Source organism: Homo sapiens, chromosome 12 (assembly GCF_000001405.40).
Source record: "Homo sapiens chromosome 12, GRCh38.p14 Primary Assembly".
NCBI lineage: Eukaryota > Metazoa > Chordata > Mammalia > Primates > Hominidae > Homo > Homo sapiens.
The window spans coordinates 99,800,591-99,815,808 of NC_000012.12; the positions used below are offsets into that span (position 1 = coordinate 99,800,591).

At 34.5% G+C, this 15,218-nt stretch overlaps 1 protein-coding gene across 17 annotated transcripts in view; it reads right to left on the reverse strand.

The window, feature by feature from the left end:
- The window catches only part of ANKS1B (ankyrin repeat and sterile alpha motif domain containing 1B), a 1,250,151-nt gene that overhangs the window by 1,065,805 nt on the left and 169,128 nt on the right, over positions 1-15,218 (reverse strand). For all 17 annotated transcript variants that reach the window (XM_006719514.5, XM_006719507.5, NM_152788.4 and 14 more), the window contains exons 3-4: positions 11,565-11,721; positions 5,814-6,110 (exon numbers count right to left, since the gene is read on the reverse strand). In XM_006719514.5, the coding sequence (XP_006719577.1) occupies positions 5,814-6,110; positions 11,565-11,721 (454 nt within the window). The remainder of the gene's footprint in view (positions 1-5,813; positions 6,111-11,564; positions 11,722-15,218) is intronic.

Here is a 15,218-nt window from a genome sequence, read left to right on the forward strand (position 1 = left end):
CTGAATGTAAAATCTGAAAGAAACCGTAAAATTCTGGGCCAAACAACTAGAAGGATGGCACTGCCTTTTGACAAAATGGGAAAGACTTGGTGATATGCAAATTTTTGAAGAAAGGGGTACAGATGCTAGATTTTCAGCTTTGGAAATGCTGAGTTTGAGAAGCCTATTAGTCATCTGATAGATATGTCCAGTAGGGAATTACATACACAAATTTAGAGTTAGGGTGGAGTCTGAGATGAAGAAATAGACTTGGTAATTGTCAGATAAAGATGATATTGGAACTCAAGAGATTGGATGAGGTCAATGAGGAAGTAGGTATAGACAGAGATGAAAAGATGTTTGAGTACTAAGCCCTGGGACACTCCGATGCTTAGAGATCAAGAAGATGAGGGCAGTTAACTATGGAATAGGGACACGATAGATTACATTATTGGCCTCTCCTTTTATATGCTCTTTGCCGTATGACTTTGTACTTCTTTCCACTTATATGAGTTGAGTATATTTCTCTTCCTCTTTATTTGAGGCTTGGTTTTGTGACCTGATTTAGCCAATGGATGGTAACCAACATGATGCAAGCAGAGGCCCAAACTGTGCTTGCATGATTGAGCTTTCTCTCTTATGCACAATCAATGCCCCCCTGCCTAGTCCCAGGAGGAAGATAATAGACACGTGCAGCAGAGATTCCCAGGCTAACTTACAGCATCAAACATACTTCCCCCAGCTTCTTCAAGAAGTCACCAGTGAACTAAATGAAAACCAAAAGACAGTCGTATCTCAGAGGTCAAAAGAAAACGGTGGTTCAAAGAAGAGACAGATACTGACTTTGTCAGTGCTGATGATGAATCAAGTAAGAGGAGAAGCAGGAATTGACTGTTGGATCTAAAAGTATGTCAGTCATTAGACAACTTGACAAAGGCAAAAACAAGGACTTTTAAAAGTGAGGGAGTTAGAGTGGCCTCAAGAGAGAATGGAGGAAAGAAATTGGATACAATGAGTAAAAACAAGCTTTTCTAACTACGTTGCTACAAAGGGGTCAGAGAAAGGGGATGGTAAGGAGAAGGAAATGTGAGATCAAGAGAGTTTTTAAAAGATGAGAAATATTACATCTTTGCATCCTTATGGAAATGGTACAGTTGAGAAAGAAAAAACGTATGGTATTAAAGACAGAAAATATTTGTCAGAGTTCCCACGTGGACAAGAAAGGATAGGATCCAATGAACAAGTAGAGAGGAATTAGCCTTAGATACAAACCTAAAAGGTTCATTTAAAGCACCAGGAAGGAAAGTAGACACAGGTACATTGGCAGATGTGGTGGTGGAAATTTGTGATTGCTTGTGGTTTCCTCAGTGAAATAAAAGCAGTATCATGATCAGAGAGGGATGATAGAGAAGGAGGTGTTGAAGTTTTGGAATAGAGATGTCGTGAAATTATCATCTAGGGAAATCAGAGAGTAAATGGATTATAATGGATAATTATCGCCTATGTACATATCTTATTTCTGGTGCCACTATAAGCCTTTGAGAGCAAAAGCTGTATCTTACTTAGTTTTGCATCTTAACAGCTCTTAGCATGGAAACTTGTACTTTTTATTATTAACTTTCTGTAATTTTACTTTCATTTCCTTTAATAGTCACATAAAGTCTAATTGGCTTAAGGTTGTACTAGTTCTTTAACTCTTCAAGTCTTATGAGAGAAACTTATAAGAAACTCACACAATGAAAGCACTAGCATGATATGGCACTATCGCTATCTGGTTACCCAAAATCAAGTTCAAAATTCATAAAAATAATTGCTAACTTCAAGAGAAAACTGCCCATTCAACCCTACTTTCTTAATATCTTACTTTGACTGATTCTCTTTATTAAAAAAATATTTAAAGACTAAAGGGTTTATAAGTAAAGATGATATGAAATTTGCCCAAAGTATTACTTACTATTTTAAATATGTGTTATAATTTAAAATTACTCAGAGAGTAATGATGCAGAAAATAAACTTCTAGAGCAAATATTAACATCAATGCTGCATTTAAAAACATATGTAGGTCAGGTGCAGTGGTTCAAATTTGTAATCCCAGCACTTTGGAAGGCCAAGAAAGGAGGATCACTTGAGCCCAGGAGTTCGAGACCAACCTGGGCAACATAGTGAGACCTTTTCTCTACAAAAACTAAAAAAATTAGCCGAGCACATCAGCACATGCCTATAGTCCCACCTACTCAGGAGGCTGAAGCAGGAGGATCACTTGAGCTTGGGAGTTCTAGGCCGAAGTGAGCATGATTGCACCACTGCCCTCCAGCCTGGGTGGCAGAATAAGACCCTGCCTTTAAAAAAAAAAAAAAAGTAAAATAAAATAAAATCACATGTAACTACTAGGAAAAGACAAGATCCTCAAAAGCCATCTATAAGTTTTAAAGATTTATTCATAATAACTTGAATGTAATTGAAGTCTAAAAGTACAATACTATAATTTACCAAATGGGATTACTTTTAATACTAATTCCCAACAGGTTAGCTAGAGCAGTTTAATGAATATTAAATCTACTGAAACAATTTGAGGCTACTAGCTACATTGTTCACTCTCAGCCAGTGAGAATATCAACAAACCTACTTGATATTCAAAAATTTTGCACTGAGTCTGATGGGAAAAACTTGGTAACAATTAATTTGAGTAATAAAATTAAATATTCACCCCCCCCCAAAAAAAAAGGCAATGAGACCAAAAAAAAAACCAACATATTTTCTATGAACAAAGCAACAATAACAAAAGCAAAATATCAACTAAGGCTAAATATATTATGGAAGATTCATTTCATTGAGATATATTTTAGAAAGATGTTGTCAGTTCTACTTCCTAGAATTCTTAGAATGAGTGTCAATAGAAGAGGTTATAGCAACACAGAAGTTGTCCACCTTACTCAGACATCACCCCGATACTTCTGATTAGGTGTTCAAAGTGATCTAAGCATATTGTCTGCCTTTCTTCTGATATGTGAAGAACAAATCTAAATGTGGTGAGGACCAAGCAGACAATCTAAAGGAATGACAATGGCAATGATATAAAATGGTAGAATGAGGTCGGAGCCTTGGAAAGCATTTACCCCATCTAAAAGCACTCAAATTCAATATTTTAAAATACTCTTTAGCCAAATAATGCACATATGCAAGCTAAAGGCCACCTAAAATTCAAAGTCGTGTTGGACTTTCAAAGGTCCCCTTCAAATGTCACTTCCATCAATGACTTCTCATGTTCTCCCTCTTAAAATCCATATTTTCCTCACCCGTAGATCCACAGCTCTTTGTTTTAGCATTTATTATATGTCATGGATGGGAGTTATTCTTGCAAATTTTTTGTCTCCTCCACTAAGCGTGGGGCAGAGATAGTTTTGGTTTTTTATTCTCCAAAAGCACAAAATACAGTGTTTTGCAGAAAAAAAGGACACATCATATACATTTATAAAATTGAATTTAAACTCTTTCCCTTCTGGTCATGTCATCTAGTACAAAACATGAAAGGATCTTGGTCAGGGATACCAAGAAGCTTACTGACCTCAGTCAGAGGGGAAGTCCTTGGTTATATTGCAGTCTGTGCAATCAAGTTTAAAAATATTACAGAAGTGTGAAAGCAGTACATCCAGATTAGAGAAATTCAACATTTATACAATAAACATCTAGTTTATCATTAAACAACTTTTAGGAAAATAACTTTGTGAGTCACCTACAATAGTAAGCATACCTACTTATTTTCAATACCCCTTTGAGGAGAGAGACTGTTTTTCCTTAATATGACTGTTAGAAAAAATTCTTATGCTTTTTTGAGAGGCTGCCAAAGTTGAATAAATAAGAAATTGAGAAAAGATATTACAAATATCTAAACTACTAAATAATGCAGGCAAAGCTCTAAAGCAAGCTCTGGTTCAGGGTGCTAGCCTTAAAACTGAGATTGGAAGGCCTGAGATTTTTCTAAATTCAATAAAGAAAACTCTGGAAATACAGGATTCAATCTCTGAACAATTCCTAGGAAATATAACCCCATCTGTGAGCACGCATTCCACCTGGAGTGTGTAATTATTTGCAACATTTGCCACATTTAGTCCCTCTGGGTATTCACACCCTTTTACAATTCACGCCCTCTTCTAATACAGAGGTAGACTCTATTTTCCAACTCCTTGAATATGGGTTGCCTTTATGACTTGCTTCAGCCAAGCAAACATGGCAGAAGTGAAGGTGTACTAGTTCCAAGCCTAGGCCTCAAGAAGCCTTGTACAATTCTGTTCTCTCTCTCAGAACCATGCATGCCATGTGAGTAAGCCCAGGCTGACCTGCTGAATCATGACAGAGAAGTGGCAGTCTCACCTATCACCCTAGACAACATCCAGCCAGCCTCTGAAACAGAAACACATAACTGATTTGCAGTTGATTTCACACACAAGAGAACACAGCCAAGACCAGAAGAACCATCAGTTGAGCTTAGACTAAATTGCCAATCACAGAATTATGAGCTAAATAAAGAGTTATTGTGTTAAGCTATTAAGTTTTGGGATAGTTTGTTGCACATCAATGGCTTACTAATAAGGGGAGAAGGTCACAATATGACAGAAAGCAAAAAAGTCTCTGGAAGATAAGAATGCTGCCATTAACTTGGAAGCCAAGAAATAACCATGAAAGGAGGAAAAGGCAAAAAAAAAAAAAAAAAAAAAAAAAGACTAACCCTGGAGTTGGGGCTAACTTAAGACAAGATATCAAAAGTAGGCTGTGGCCAGGCCCAGTAGCCCACACCTATAATCCCAGAACTTGGGGATGCCAAGGTGGAAGGATTGCTTGAGCCCAGGAGTTCAAGACTAGCCTGAGCAACAGAGCAAGACCTCATCTCTACAAAAAATACAAAACTTAGCTGGGTATGGTGGTGTGTACCTGCGGTCCCACCAGCTACTGGAGAGGCTGAGGCAGGAGGATCACTTGAGCCCAGGAGGTGGAGGCTGCAGTGAGCTGAGATCACGCCACCCACCACTGCACTCTAGCCTGGGCAACAGAGCAAGACTCTGTCTGAAAATAATAATAATAATAAAATATACTAAATTAAATTAAACTTTTTAAAGTAGGTTGACCATTCCTTGTGGAGAAACAAAACCTATCCAAATCCTATTCTTCCTACAAAGCTCACCTCAAATCACACCTTTTCCATTTTTTTTTTTCTGAGTGTCCTTAGGCATAGTGATCATTCCTTCATTAGTTATGTATAAACAGTACATTACGGTGGAAAGAGGCCTGGACTTTAATCAGTAAGTCTAAATTCACATCCCGGTTTTATCAACTATGTGTCCTTAGACAAATTTCTTAAATCTTTGAATCTGATTCCTCATCTCTTAACTGAAATTTAATAGTTCTCAATCCCAAAGGACAGTTGTGAGAATTGAATTCTAAATGTGTCAACATGCTAAACACAAAGTACATACTCAACAATGTTAAAGTGAATTTTGTTCCATTCATTCATTAAACTCTGACTGGATTCCTACTGTATGTTAGGCTGTGTGCTAGATATTGGGACAAAGGAAACAATTACTAATGATACCACACACAACTGCCATCTACTAACTTCTCATGTGTATAGCCCTCAAATTAGAATGAGGTTAGAGATTATGCCTTGTAGCTCTTCATATTTCCCAAAAGTAGGTGGCATAGTACCTTGAACTCAGTAGTTACAAAAGTACTTGTGAACAATTTGATTAAAAGATTTCTACATACAGGTTTTCACATTTGAATCCCAAAGCCAAGCAACAGCATCATCACTTTTAAAGCATAGCTAAAAGCACACTCACTTGACAGCTCACATCCATTCCTGCCTCCAGCAGCACCTGCACGACTGCTTTGTGGCCATTGCGCGCAGCAAGGTGAAGTGGCGTGTGCTTGCGAGTGTTGCAGCTCATTAAGTTAGGATGTGCACTGATGATCATTTTTACCACTCTAAGCCGTCCGTAGAGTGCCGCCAAGTCCAAAGGTGTTTCCAGCTTGCTATTTCTAATTGTCGGGTCAGTGAGCTCTTCTAGGAGAACAGCAACTACTTCTGAGTGTCCATATTGAGCTGCACAGTGTAGGGCAGTTTCATTTTCATTGTTCTAAGACAAAGATTTTTAAAAAGGCACATTTTCAGAAATTCAATTTGTTATCAAAATCTTAACACAGTAATTTAAAACCTGCAATGCTTTGAAATGTAAGTTAAGATTTATCCATTTTAACAAGTATGCCTAATGGAATTTTATATTTGATAAAAGTATCTAGGATTCATTGAATCAAAAAAAAATTTTTTATATCACTTTAATCGAAAACAATCCAACATTTCCCTAAATCATATATGCCAACTTCCAAAAATGACAAATGATTTAGCCATGTTTGTCAGAGGCCCTCCTGGGTCCAGAAGGACAGTGATATCTGCATGGTGCATCACATCTTTAGACATTTATTAATAAGAGAGATCAAAACAATTATAACAGACTTTTAATAGACTGGCTTTCCAAAAGACAGATAAGAAGGTAAATTCTTGGTAACAAAAGGTTTATAGAAAGGTTTCCCAAATTAAGTTTCATTTTATTTTCCATGTAAGTACAAATCATTGCTTCCTTTGCAAAGAAAATGAAAAGATTTTGGCCTTAAGATATAAAAGTACCTTTTTGAAATGTTATCATGGGTTGTGAGGATGGACCTAGATCAGTTCCCAGACAAGTTACTAGGAGTATCACAGTACAACATGTGCAGCTTATAAGGGTTCAGTTGAAAATCAATGAGATTTTCCTAGAAATGTATCAAGATTTTTAAAAATGTTAAGATACAGAAAACTGAACCCAGTTGCAAGGCAGAGGGACCCTTCAGACTATTTGAGCAATATAGGTAGATGGTGTATAGGTATGTCAGGAGGTGGAAGGGTCAGGAGAAAAATGAACAAGAAATTTTAGTAACAAAAATGCAATAACCGTAAATGAGGGTTCTGGAAAGAAAGAGCAGCTGCCACCATCAGAGTTATCATCATAGCTAACACTATGTACTAGACATAGTTGCATTTTATATATGTTTACTCATTTAATCCTCATTATGAGATAGATACTATTATCATTATCTCCATTTTACAGATGAGAAAACTGAGGCACTGAATAGTTGAATAACTGGCCTTCCGTTATACAGCCATTTAGTGGTAGGACCGGGATTTGAACACAAGTAGCCAAGACCCAAAGTGGGTGTTCTTAACCATCACACATACCACCTTCCAAAATAGGAACTATTACTACTACTACTTGTTGAGTGCCTAAAAACTATATATATTGTCTCATTTAACTCTTACAACAATTCTCCAAAATTTATATTAAAATTGTCTACTTCATGGACAAGTAAACTAAAATACAAAAAGGTTAAATTACACATCCAAGTAGAATTAAGATATTTTGCAAGCTGGATCTGACAAATCCAAAACCCATGCTCTTTCCACTATACCATGTTGTCTGCCATGTGTTGCTATATTGTCAAAGAAGAGCTGGGAATTAGTGATCTGAAAGCAGAATTTCTAGAGGTTTTGCTCAGAAAAATACCAACCGAGAATAGGGAGTAGCTGTTTAGATAGCTGTTCTGATGAAAATAAAAGGATAAGAAGTGTTCAGACCCAAACAAATCTTAATGTTCTAGAAAGTAACTCAAGTTTGCCCTGGATGATAGAAGAATGCAAGTAAGTTGAGAGTCTAGAGGGAAGATTTGAAAATTTAAAAAGGAGTAGAGTGACAAGGGGAAAACAGCACTAGGAAAGGCTTCTTACTACTTTACCTTGCAAATAAGTATCAAGAGAGAGCATTTGAAGGTCAAACCCACAGGGAAAAATCTACTCTTTCAAGACAATCAATGAAAAGTTAAGACCTGTTAGATGGGGAATCCAGCTGAGGGTACTGTTTCTTCCATCATTTGTCAGGAGTCCTTCTTTACTTGGTTTGAAAGTATTACTATAATCTACTTCTTCATAAACAATGATCACATACAGGTTTAGACTCCCTGGTCTTCTTATCTGTTTTTCTTATCAGGCTTATAAAACAGCCAATCTTATTACTTCACACCATGAAAACATTATACAGATATATACCTCCTGACCAACCCAAATTTCCCCCTGGTCTGAAAGGGATTCAATCTCAGTTTTCAAAATACAGTATCTCTTTGAGAAAAGAGAAAGGCCAGTTATGAAATAATGATTCCTCAAAGGCCTCTCTACTGGTCCAGAGCCCTGAGCCTAGGAAATTACAAGAGCAAAATCGAAAAATTTTCTAGTAACACCAATTAGCACTGTTCAGATCTCAAGGGAAAATATATCAATCATTCAAGACCTACTCAGGATAAAAAGTTCACAGATTTTATCCATGATCATCACATACTTGGATCGTCACCTCAGTGGACGCCACAACGGTGGTACTTTTACGAGAGCATGATTGTGTATTTGTGTATGCTCACAAGTGATCTAAAATAATCTAATTTGAAATAAATAGGCTGTGATGAGGCACTGATTAATAATTCCTAGTATGGCTATGCAGAATATTCTTAAAAGTTTTTTAATTCCTTCTTTTTTACCAAATGGGTATTCTCTGAAACATTAGGACCCTTCCAGATAATGGATGATAGAACAAAACTGGCTAACAAAAGCCATTTACCAAAAACTCTTGGTTCAGAGTAAAACATCTAACAAGAGTTGGATTCGAGTTTCGGTGAATGGCAAAGGCAATGTGTTTTTCAGATAAGGCCCCTCTGGGTTTTGCCCTAATGTTAAAATAAAGAAAAAAAAAAAGAGGAAGAGAAGGTAAAGGGAAGAAAGGATTAATGAAATTTAAAGAAATTGAAAATTTTCAATTTAAAGGAAATTTAAATTGCAAAAAGGAAATAATCAGATGATAAAAGAGAAGGATGTGGCAATTATAAAAACCATAATCCGGGTAGAGTCCACTTTGTTTAGAATGGTGAACAAGACCTAGGTTGAAGTGTTACCATGTAAATTACTTCATCTCTCCAAACCTATCTTATCTGTATAATGAGAATATTATTTTCCCTATAAACCTTATAATATAGTTTATAAACCAAAAGAGATAACATATTTTTAAAATGCATTGTAAACTTTAAATATTAAAATGTAGAATAGAATTATTTTTAAAGAAAGCTGTATTAGAAACCAAAGATAACTTTCAGAAATCAGAATGAAGCCCTGACTATAATGCATAATTTTAACATAACATAAATGTATTACTGGTTGAGAGCTTAGGCTTTGGATCAGAAAAACCTGCGTTCAAACACTGGCTGCATTTCTTAGTAGCTGTGATGTTACGGTCAATCTACTCTATCTCTCTAAGGCTGTAACTCCATATATATAGTAGCAACAGTAATCTAGGGCTTAGTAAGATAACGGGGATGAAGTATTTTGCACAATGCCTGGCACACAGTAAACAATCCATTAAGTGATAGGATTTAGGATGACAATACCAATGCGCTGTTGTGTAAAAGGCTCTGGAGTCAAAGTCCTGAGTCTCAGTCTCAGTTTCAGTCACTCAGTAACACGTGGCCTTCGACAAGTTGTTTAGTTTTACAGAGCATGATTTCTCAACTATAAAATGCGAGTGATATTATCAATTCAGAGGATTATTGTGAGAATTCATTAAATCGTATTTTTGAGGTGAAAGTGTTTAGAACAGTGCCCGCTTTACCTTATGTCTCAATAAATGCTAATTACCATTTTTATTTCCTTTATTGTTTAAATACATAAAAGTTTATAATTAACAAGAAGATTCTGTCCTATTCAGAAGGAAAAAAGAAAGCTAAAATTAAAAGTTATCTATAAAAATAAAAATCCTACATCAAAAAATTTAGGAGAAATGGCATAGAATGGGAAAACTATGATCAGCATCAAAAGAGTATACATATAACAATGAAAAAATACTAAAATTATGGTATTAAAAATCGTAAGAAAGTTGCAACTTCTTGCCAATAGAAACCGCAACACAAAGCAACAGAGGTGAACAAAGGACTTTGAATATGGTCTCCTTAAAAAGACACTTTTTGTAATTTAATTGATCTATTCAACATTACCAAAAACAAGTATTTCTCTTTAAAACATATAGCAACTTTTCACTTTCAAATGTAAGTGAATACTATATGTTATTTCTTATTTTCATGTCATTTAAAAACATCTTGTTTGTAAAAACTAACATCCTCTTGTTTAACCTTGGATTGTTTTTCCATTTTATTATTTCAGGTTTGCTTTGCAGTATTCAGACAATTTTAAGAATAACCACCAGATGGCTCATCTCATAAATGATCTAACTGTTGGTTTTCTGTGGAAGAGAAGAGCATTGTCATAAATTTCCTTTTAGCATGATATGATGATAAAGATAGCCATATCTGTCATGTTTTAAAGACTGGGTGCATTCTTATTAAAATTTCTGCATTTTTGTAACCTGTAAACATGGAAATTTTTATTGTGATAAATATTAATAAGATACTTTTCCAATTAATAAAATGTTTTCCTGATTAGTCCTTTCAACAACTGCATATATATTTTCATTGAAAAAATATGTATTTTTCTTCCCTTTGCTATTTACAGCAATTGTTACTTTTTATCCTTCAGTCTGAATTTCAAAGTCCGGCAAAGTCTGCATCCATTTGAACAATATGCTAATTGTGCTTTATTAGATATGCTTGCCCTAAAGTAACCTACTTGCATTGATATTGGACAACTGCCAACCTGCAGCTTAATGCCGTGATTGTAATTCAATTGTTGGACTGTCTGCTGGTTTTCAAATATAGTTTTACAAAATGGGAACAGTAGGGGGCATGCAGAGATCAACATGTTTGTTATCATACTGTATTAGGGGACCATATTTTACTTTCTAGAATCTGTGGTCCTATCTGTTTAGAATACTGACACTGGTTTTCTTTTTAAAATATGTCCATTATGTGTAATATAGATATTGTGTACTTACAAATACATTAACTGTCAGAATCATACTGCTGCTGTGTTTTATTCAACTTATTCTGGGCATATGTGTTTGTGTTTGTATATATATATATCAAAAAATTTTAACTTAATATGTGACAAGCAACTGTATATGCTATATTTCACATTTTGATTCACAAGAGTACTTAACCATGAAAGTGCTAAGTAAATGGTAAAGCATTATGCAAATGATAGGCATATCATTGTTTTAGCATTCAAAATTGTATTAAGAAACATTGTAATTCTCATTACACATATGAATTCTGTTCTATCTTTAAATATTCAATGGCTATAAAATGGCTGATTATATAAGACAGGCAAAAATATTTCAGCTACTTCCTTTATGTAGGATTTTCCCATTAACAAAGTATCTTTACAAATGCCCAACTTAGTCCCTGCATATCATATCCAAACACCAAAGAATTTTTCAAATTTCTCCTTTTAGGAAATTCAGCAATGGAAAGGCCTTTGGGCAAGGTAAAGATAAAAAAATCACATTTTCAATATGGCTTTGCCTTGTAAAACTAGAAAAATTACATCATGAGCAAACATTTGGCAAGTGCACCTGTTCATTGACCCTGGAATGTGATGGTCCATGATGAATAAGAATCTTCACAATTTCCACATCTCCTTTCCAGGCAGCCAGGTGAATAGGAAAATACCCTTTGTTGTCTGCTACATTTGTTGATGCCTCATACTGAAGTAGTTTGAGAACTATGTCCCTAAAAAGGAAAAAACAACAACAACAAAATAGGCTGAGCAAGACAAACTGTATTAAATAGGTAATTTTAAAAGAATACTAGATGCTGGGTGGGAATTTAGAGTAATCATTCAAGGTACTAAGATATAAAGTTGGGTTTCAAAGTTTTTGCCTACTCAACATTTGGCTATTTTACTTACCTGGAAAACCATCACCCCATGCCACACACACACACACACACACACACACACACACACACACACACACACAGAGAGAGAGAGAGAGAGAAAGAGAGCGAGAGCACACATTGACTAACCAATTAAACTACTTAATAGAATTCATATAAGCAAAACTTAACTTATTTCATTAATTAGATGAGCTAAGTAAAATGAAGAGGATACCAACTCCCATTTTTTTTTTTAAAAAAAGAGCTCTTTCCAGATAGCCCATATCTGAGATTTAGTTTGAAGGAAAAGTTGAAGTTACAAGTATATTCCTTGTTTACACACACACAAAAAGTTATCATAATACCAAGGAGGCATTTATAAAATTTACACATCATTCCTACAGATAATTGGAATAAGAGATTTAAGGGGTATGTAAAAGAGAAAGAAAGTGCAGTATGTAAGGGACCCTTGACAAGCTAACTGTAGTACTAGCCCAGGGTTAAAAAATAATAATAAAAAAATTTTAATAACTTCTCAGTGATGGCACACAACACACTTTGAGTATTCCTTGTTCCTACTTCTGTATTCCTTCACCTTTCTTCTCCAAGCATAAAAAATTATTTCAAAAGGGAAACTCATTTAAAAGACAAGTTCCACCATTAATGCAATTTCAACACATATTCAATATATCCTACCTCAAAAATTTTGAACTTAATCCCCACCAGGTTTTCAAAGTAAAAATCCTGACCTGCATTACTCAACCTTAGAAAGAATTAATTAATAATTATTAGCATAAATTATATCAAAATATATGTCAACAATCAAAAGCAGTAATTCTAAACAAAACTGTATTTTCATTTGGATGCATTTAAGAAGCAAATTCTATTAACTCACTAAATGAAATGCTAGTCAGACACACATAAATAAAAATATATATATAATTACAATATATAATAAAGTTGTTTCTTACATACAACAAATCACTAATGGGGAGGGTGAACATAACAGATTTACATTTAAACATTTCATAAAATCAGACTCTAGATGCAAGTAACAAATGAAAACATTTGGAGGAAATTTTAATAGAAGGAAGATTAGAATTTTGATAGCTCACAAGAAAAACAGATATGATATGATACAAAATTATGGTAAATGGTAAAACATACTGTCCAGAATGTGTCCTAAAGTCACAACATTTGACTTAATTGCTAAATGTAAGAAATCATGATTTTAAAAAAACAAGAATATGTTGTAGAAATATTTAGAATCCAAGGAGTCCTAAATTGTCTAATGATATAATTTCTGAGAAATTAAGAATTAAATTTTAACATTTCTCTTTGAAAAACCAGCATTATTTTACGAAATCTGAATTTAGAAGACTTGGATTTGTGTCCCAGCTATGCAAACTACCTGAGGCTGTGATTCCGGAGAAATGATAATCACACACCACATAATGATAATTCGATCAACAACAGACCATCCGCATATATAATGGTTGTTCAAAAAGATTATCATACCTCATTTTTACTGTACCTTTTCTATGTTTTGATATGTTTAGATACATAAATACTTTCTGTATCTATTGTGTTAAAATTGCCTACAGTATTCAGTACAGTAACATACTGTGCAGGCATGTAACTCGGGAGCAACGGGTCATACCATGTAGCCTAGGTGTGTGACAGGCTATATCACTTAGATTTGTGTAAGTGCACTCTATGATGTTCACACAATGATGAAATCACGTAATTAGACATTTCTCAGAATGTATCCCTGTCATTAAGAAACACATGACTGTACTTAGTCTCATTTTCTTTTTCTTCAGGAGATACTATAATGATAATGTCTACTCAAAACTGGTAATAGCATTAAATAAGATCATAAAAAAGAATTCACTCAATAAATAGTAAAGCACTATACCAATAATAGCACTTGTCCCAAGTAAAAATAAAATACTTTAGAAGTGAAATGAAATGCTTATAGAAAGTCACCTTCGAAAAACAGAATCAGAAAATCAGAAGGAAACTTAAAGGTTATCCAGTTCACACGCTTCTCCCCATTTCCCTGCCAAGCAAGGGTTGTTATATAGGGTCTTCCATTCTGACATAAATAAATACATAACTTCAGTGAGGTAATGAGAATTCAATACCTATGAATAACAAAAGCAGATAAGGAAAGATCTGAAGTCCCAACTCTCTACTATTTACAAACCTGGTTACCTTGAGGAAATTAAGTAACCTCTGTCTCTCTTTCAGATATTGTGAAAATAGAATTTAGAGATTACATCTTGGTGCTAGTTTCAAACAGTTATGGTGTGAATCAAATGAGAAACAGATGTAATTGTAAAATTATATATACAATCAAAAGTTGTTCTCAAGGCAGATTGTTGCAATGTTAAACAATTCCAGTGATTGCTTTTTAAATAAAATATTTCAGCATTTAAAAGGCAAAATAATAGCAAAAGAAGTTAGTCAAATTAAATACCTGGATCTAAAATGTAGAATTTAGCCTACTACAAAATAGACTTCTCCAAGTTACTGTCAAAGACAACTGTGAGAAGAGAAAAATTTCATTTCTTAATACCTAAGGAAATAAAAAATATATTCTGAAACAACTTCTCCTATAAAGCATTTCCTTTCAAGGGGTAAAGACGAAAAAAAGATTGATGGGATCATCAATTCTATTTCCTTTTACTCTTGCTCCAATCACTTAGAATTTCATTTGTTCTTTGGCTCAAATTTTACTGACATTTTCTAATAATGTAAGTGATATACATTCATTCTTCATTTATCAGGAAGATTTATGACAAGTGAAAAAACGTCTATTTTGAAAACTGACTTACTAATCATTTGTATTTTCTAGTATTACCACCATCTAATATCTAAATCAGAAAAGAATAATCTGTAAGTTTGTAAAATTGCCTTTGGAAAACACTAAGATCCTAACTACACATTATTTACACATTATTTTTAAGTTTTGAAAAATGTATTTATTTTAATAAATAAATATTTTGTTAAATGTGCTTATTTTTTTCTTTTTTAATTTTATTTCAATAGTTTTTGGGACACAGGTGGTTTTTGGTTCCATGGATGGGTAACACTTTAGTGGTAAATTCTGAGATTTTAGTGCACTCATCATCCAAGTAGTGCACAATGTTTCCAGCGTGTTGTGTTTTATCCTTCACTCCCCTCCAAACCTCCCTCCACCAGTCCCCACAGTCCATTATATCACTCTGTATGTTTTGGCATCCACATAGCTTAGCTCCCACTTAGAAGTGAGAACGCATGGTATTTGGTTTTCCATTCCCTAGTCACTTCACTTAGAATAACGGCTTCCAGTTCCATCCAAGTTGCCA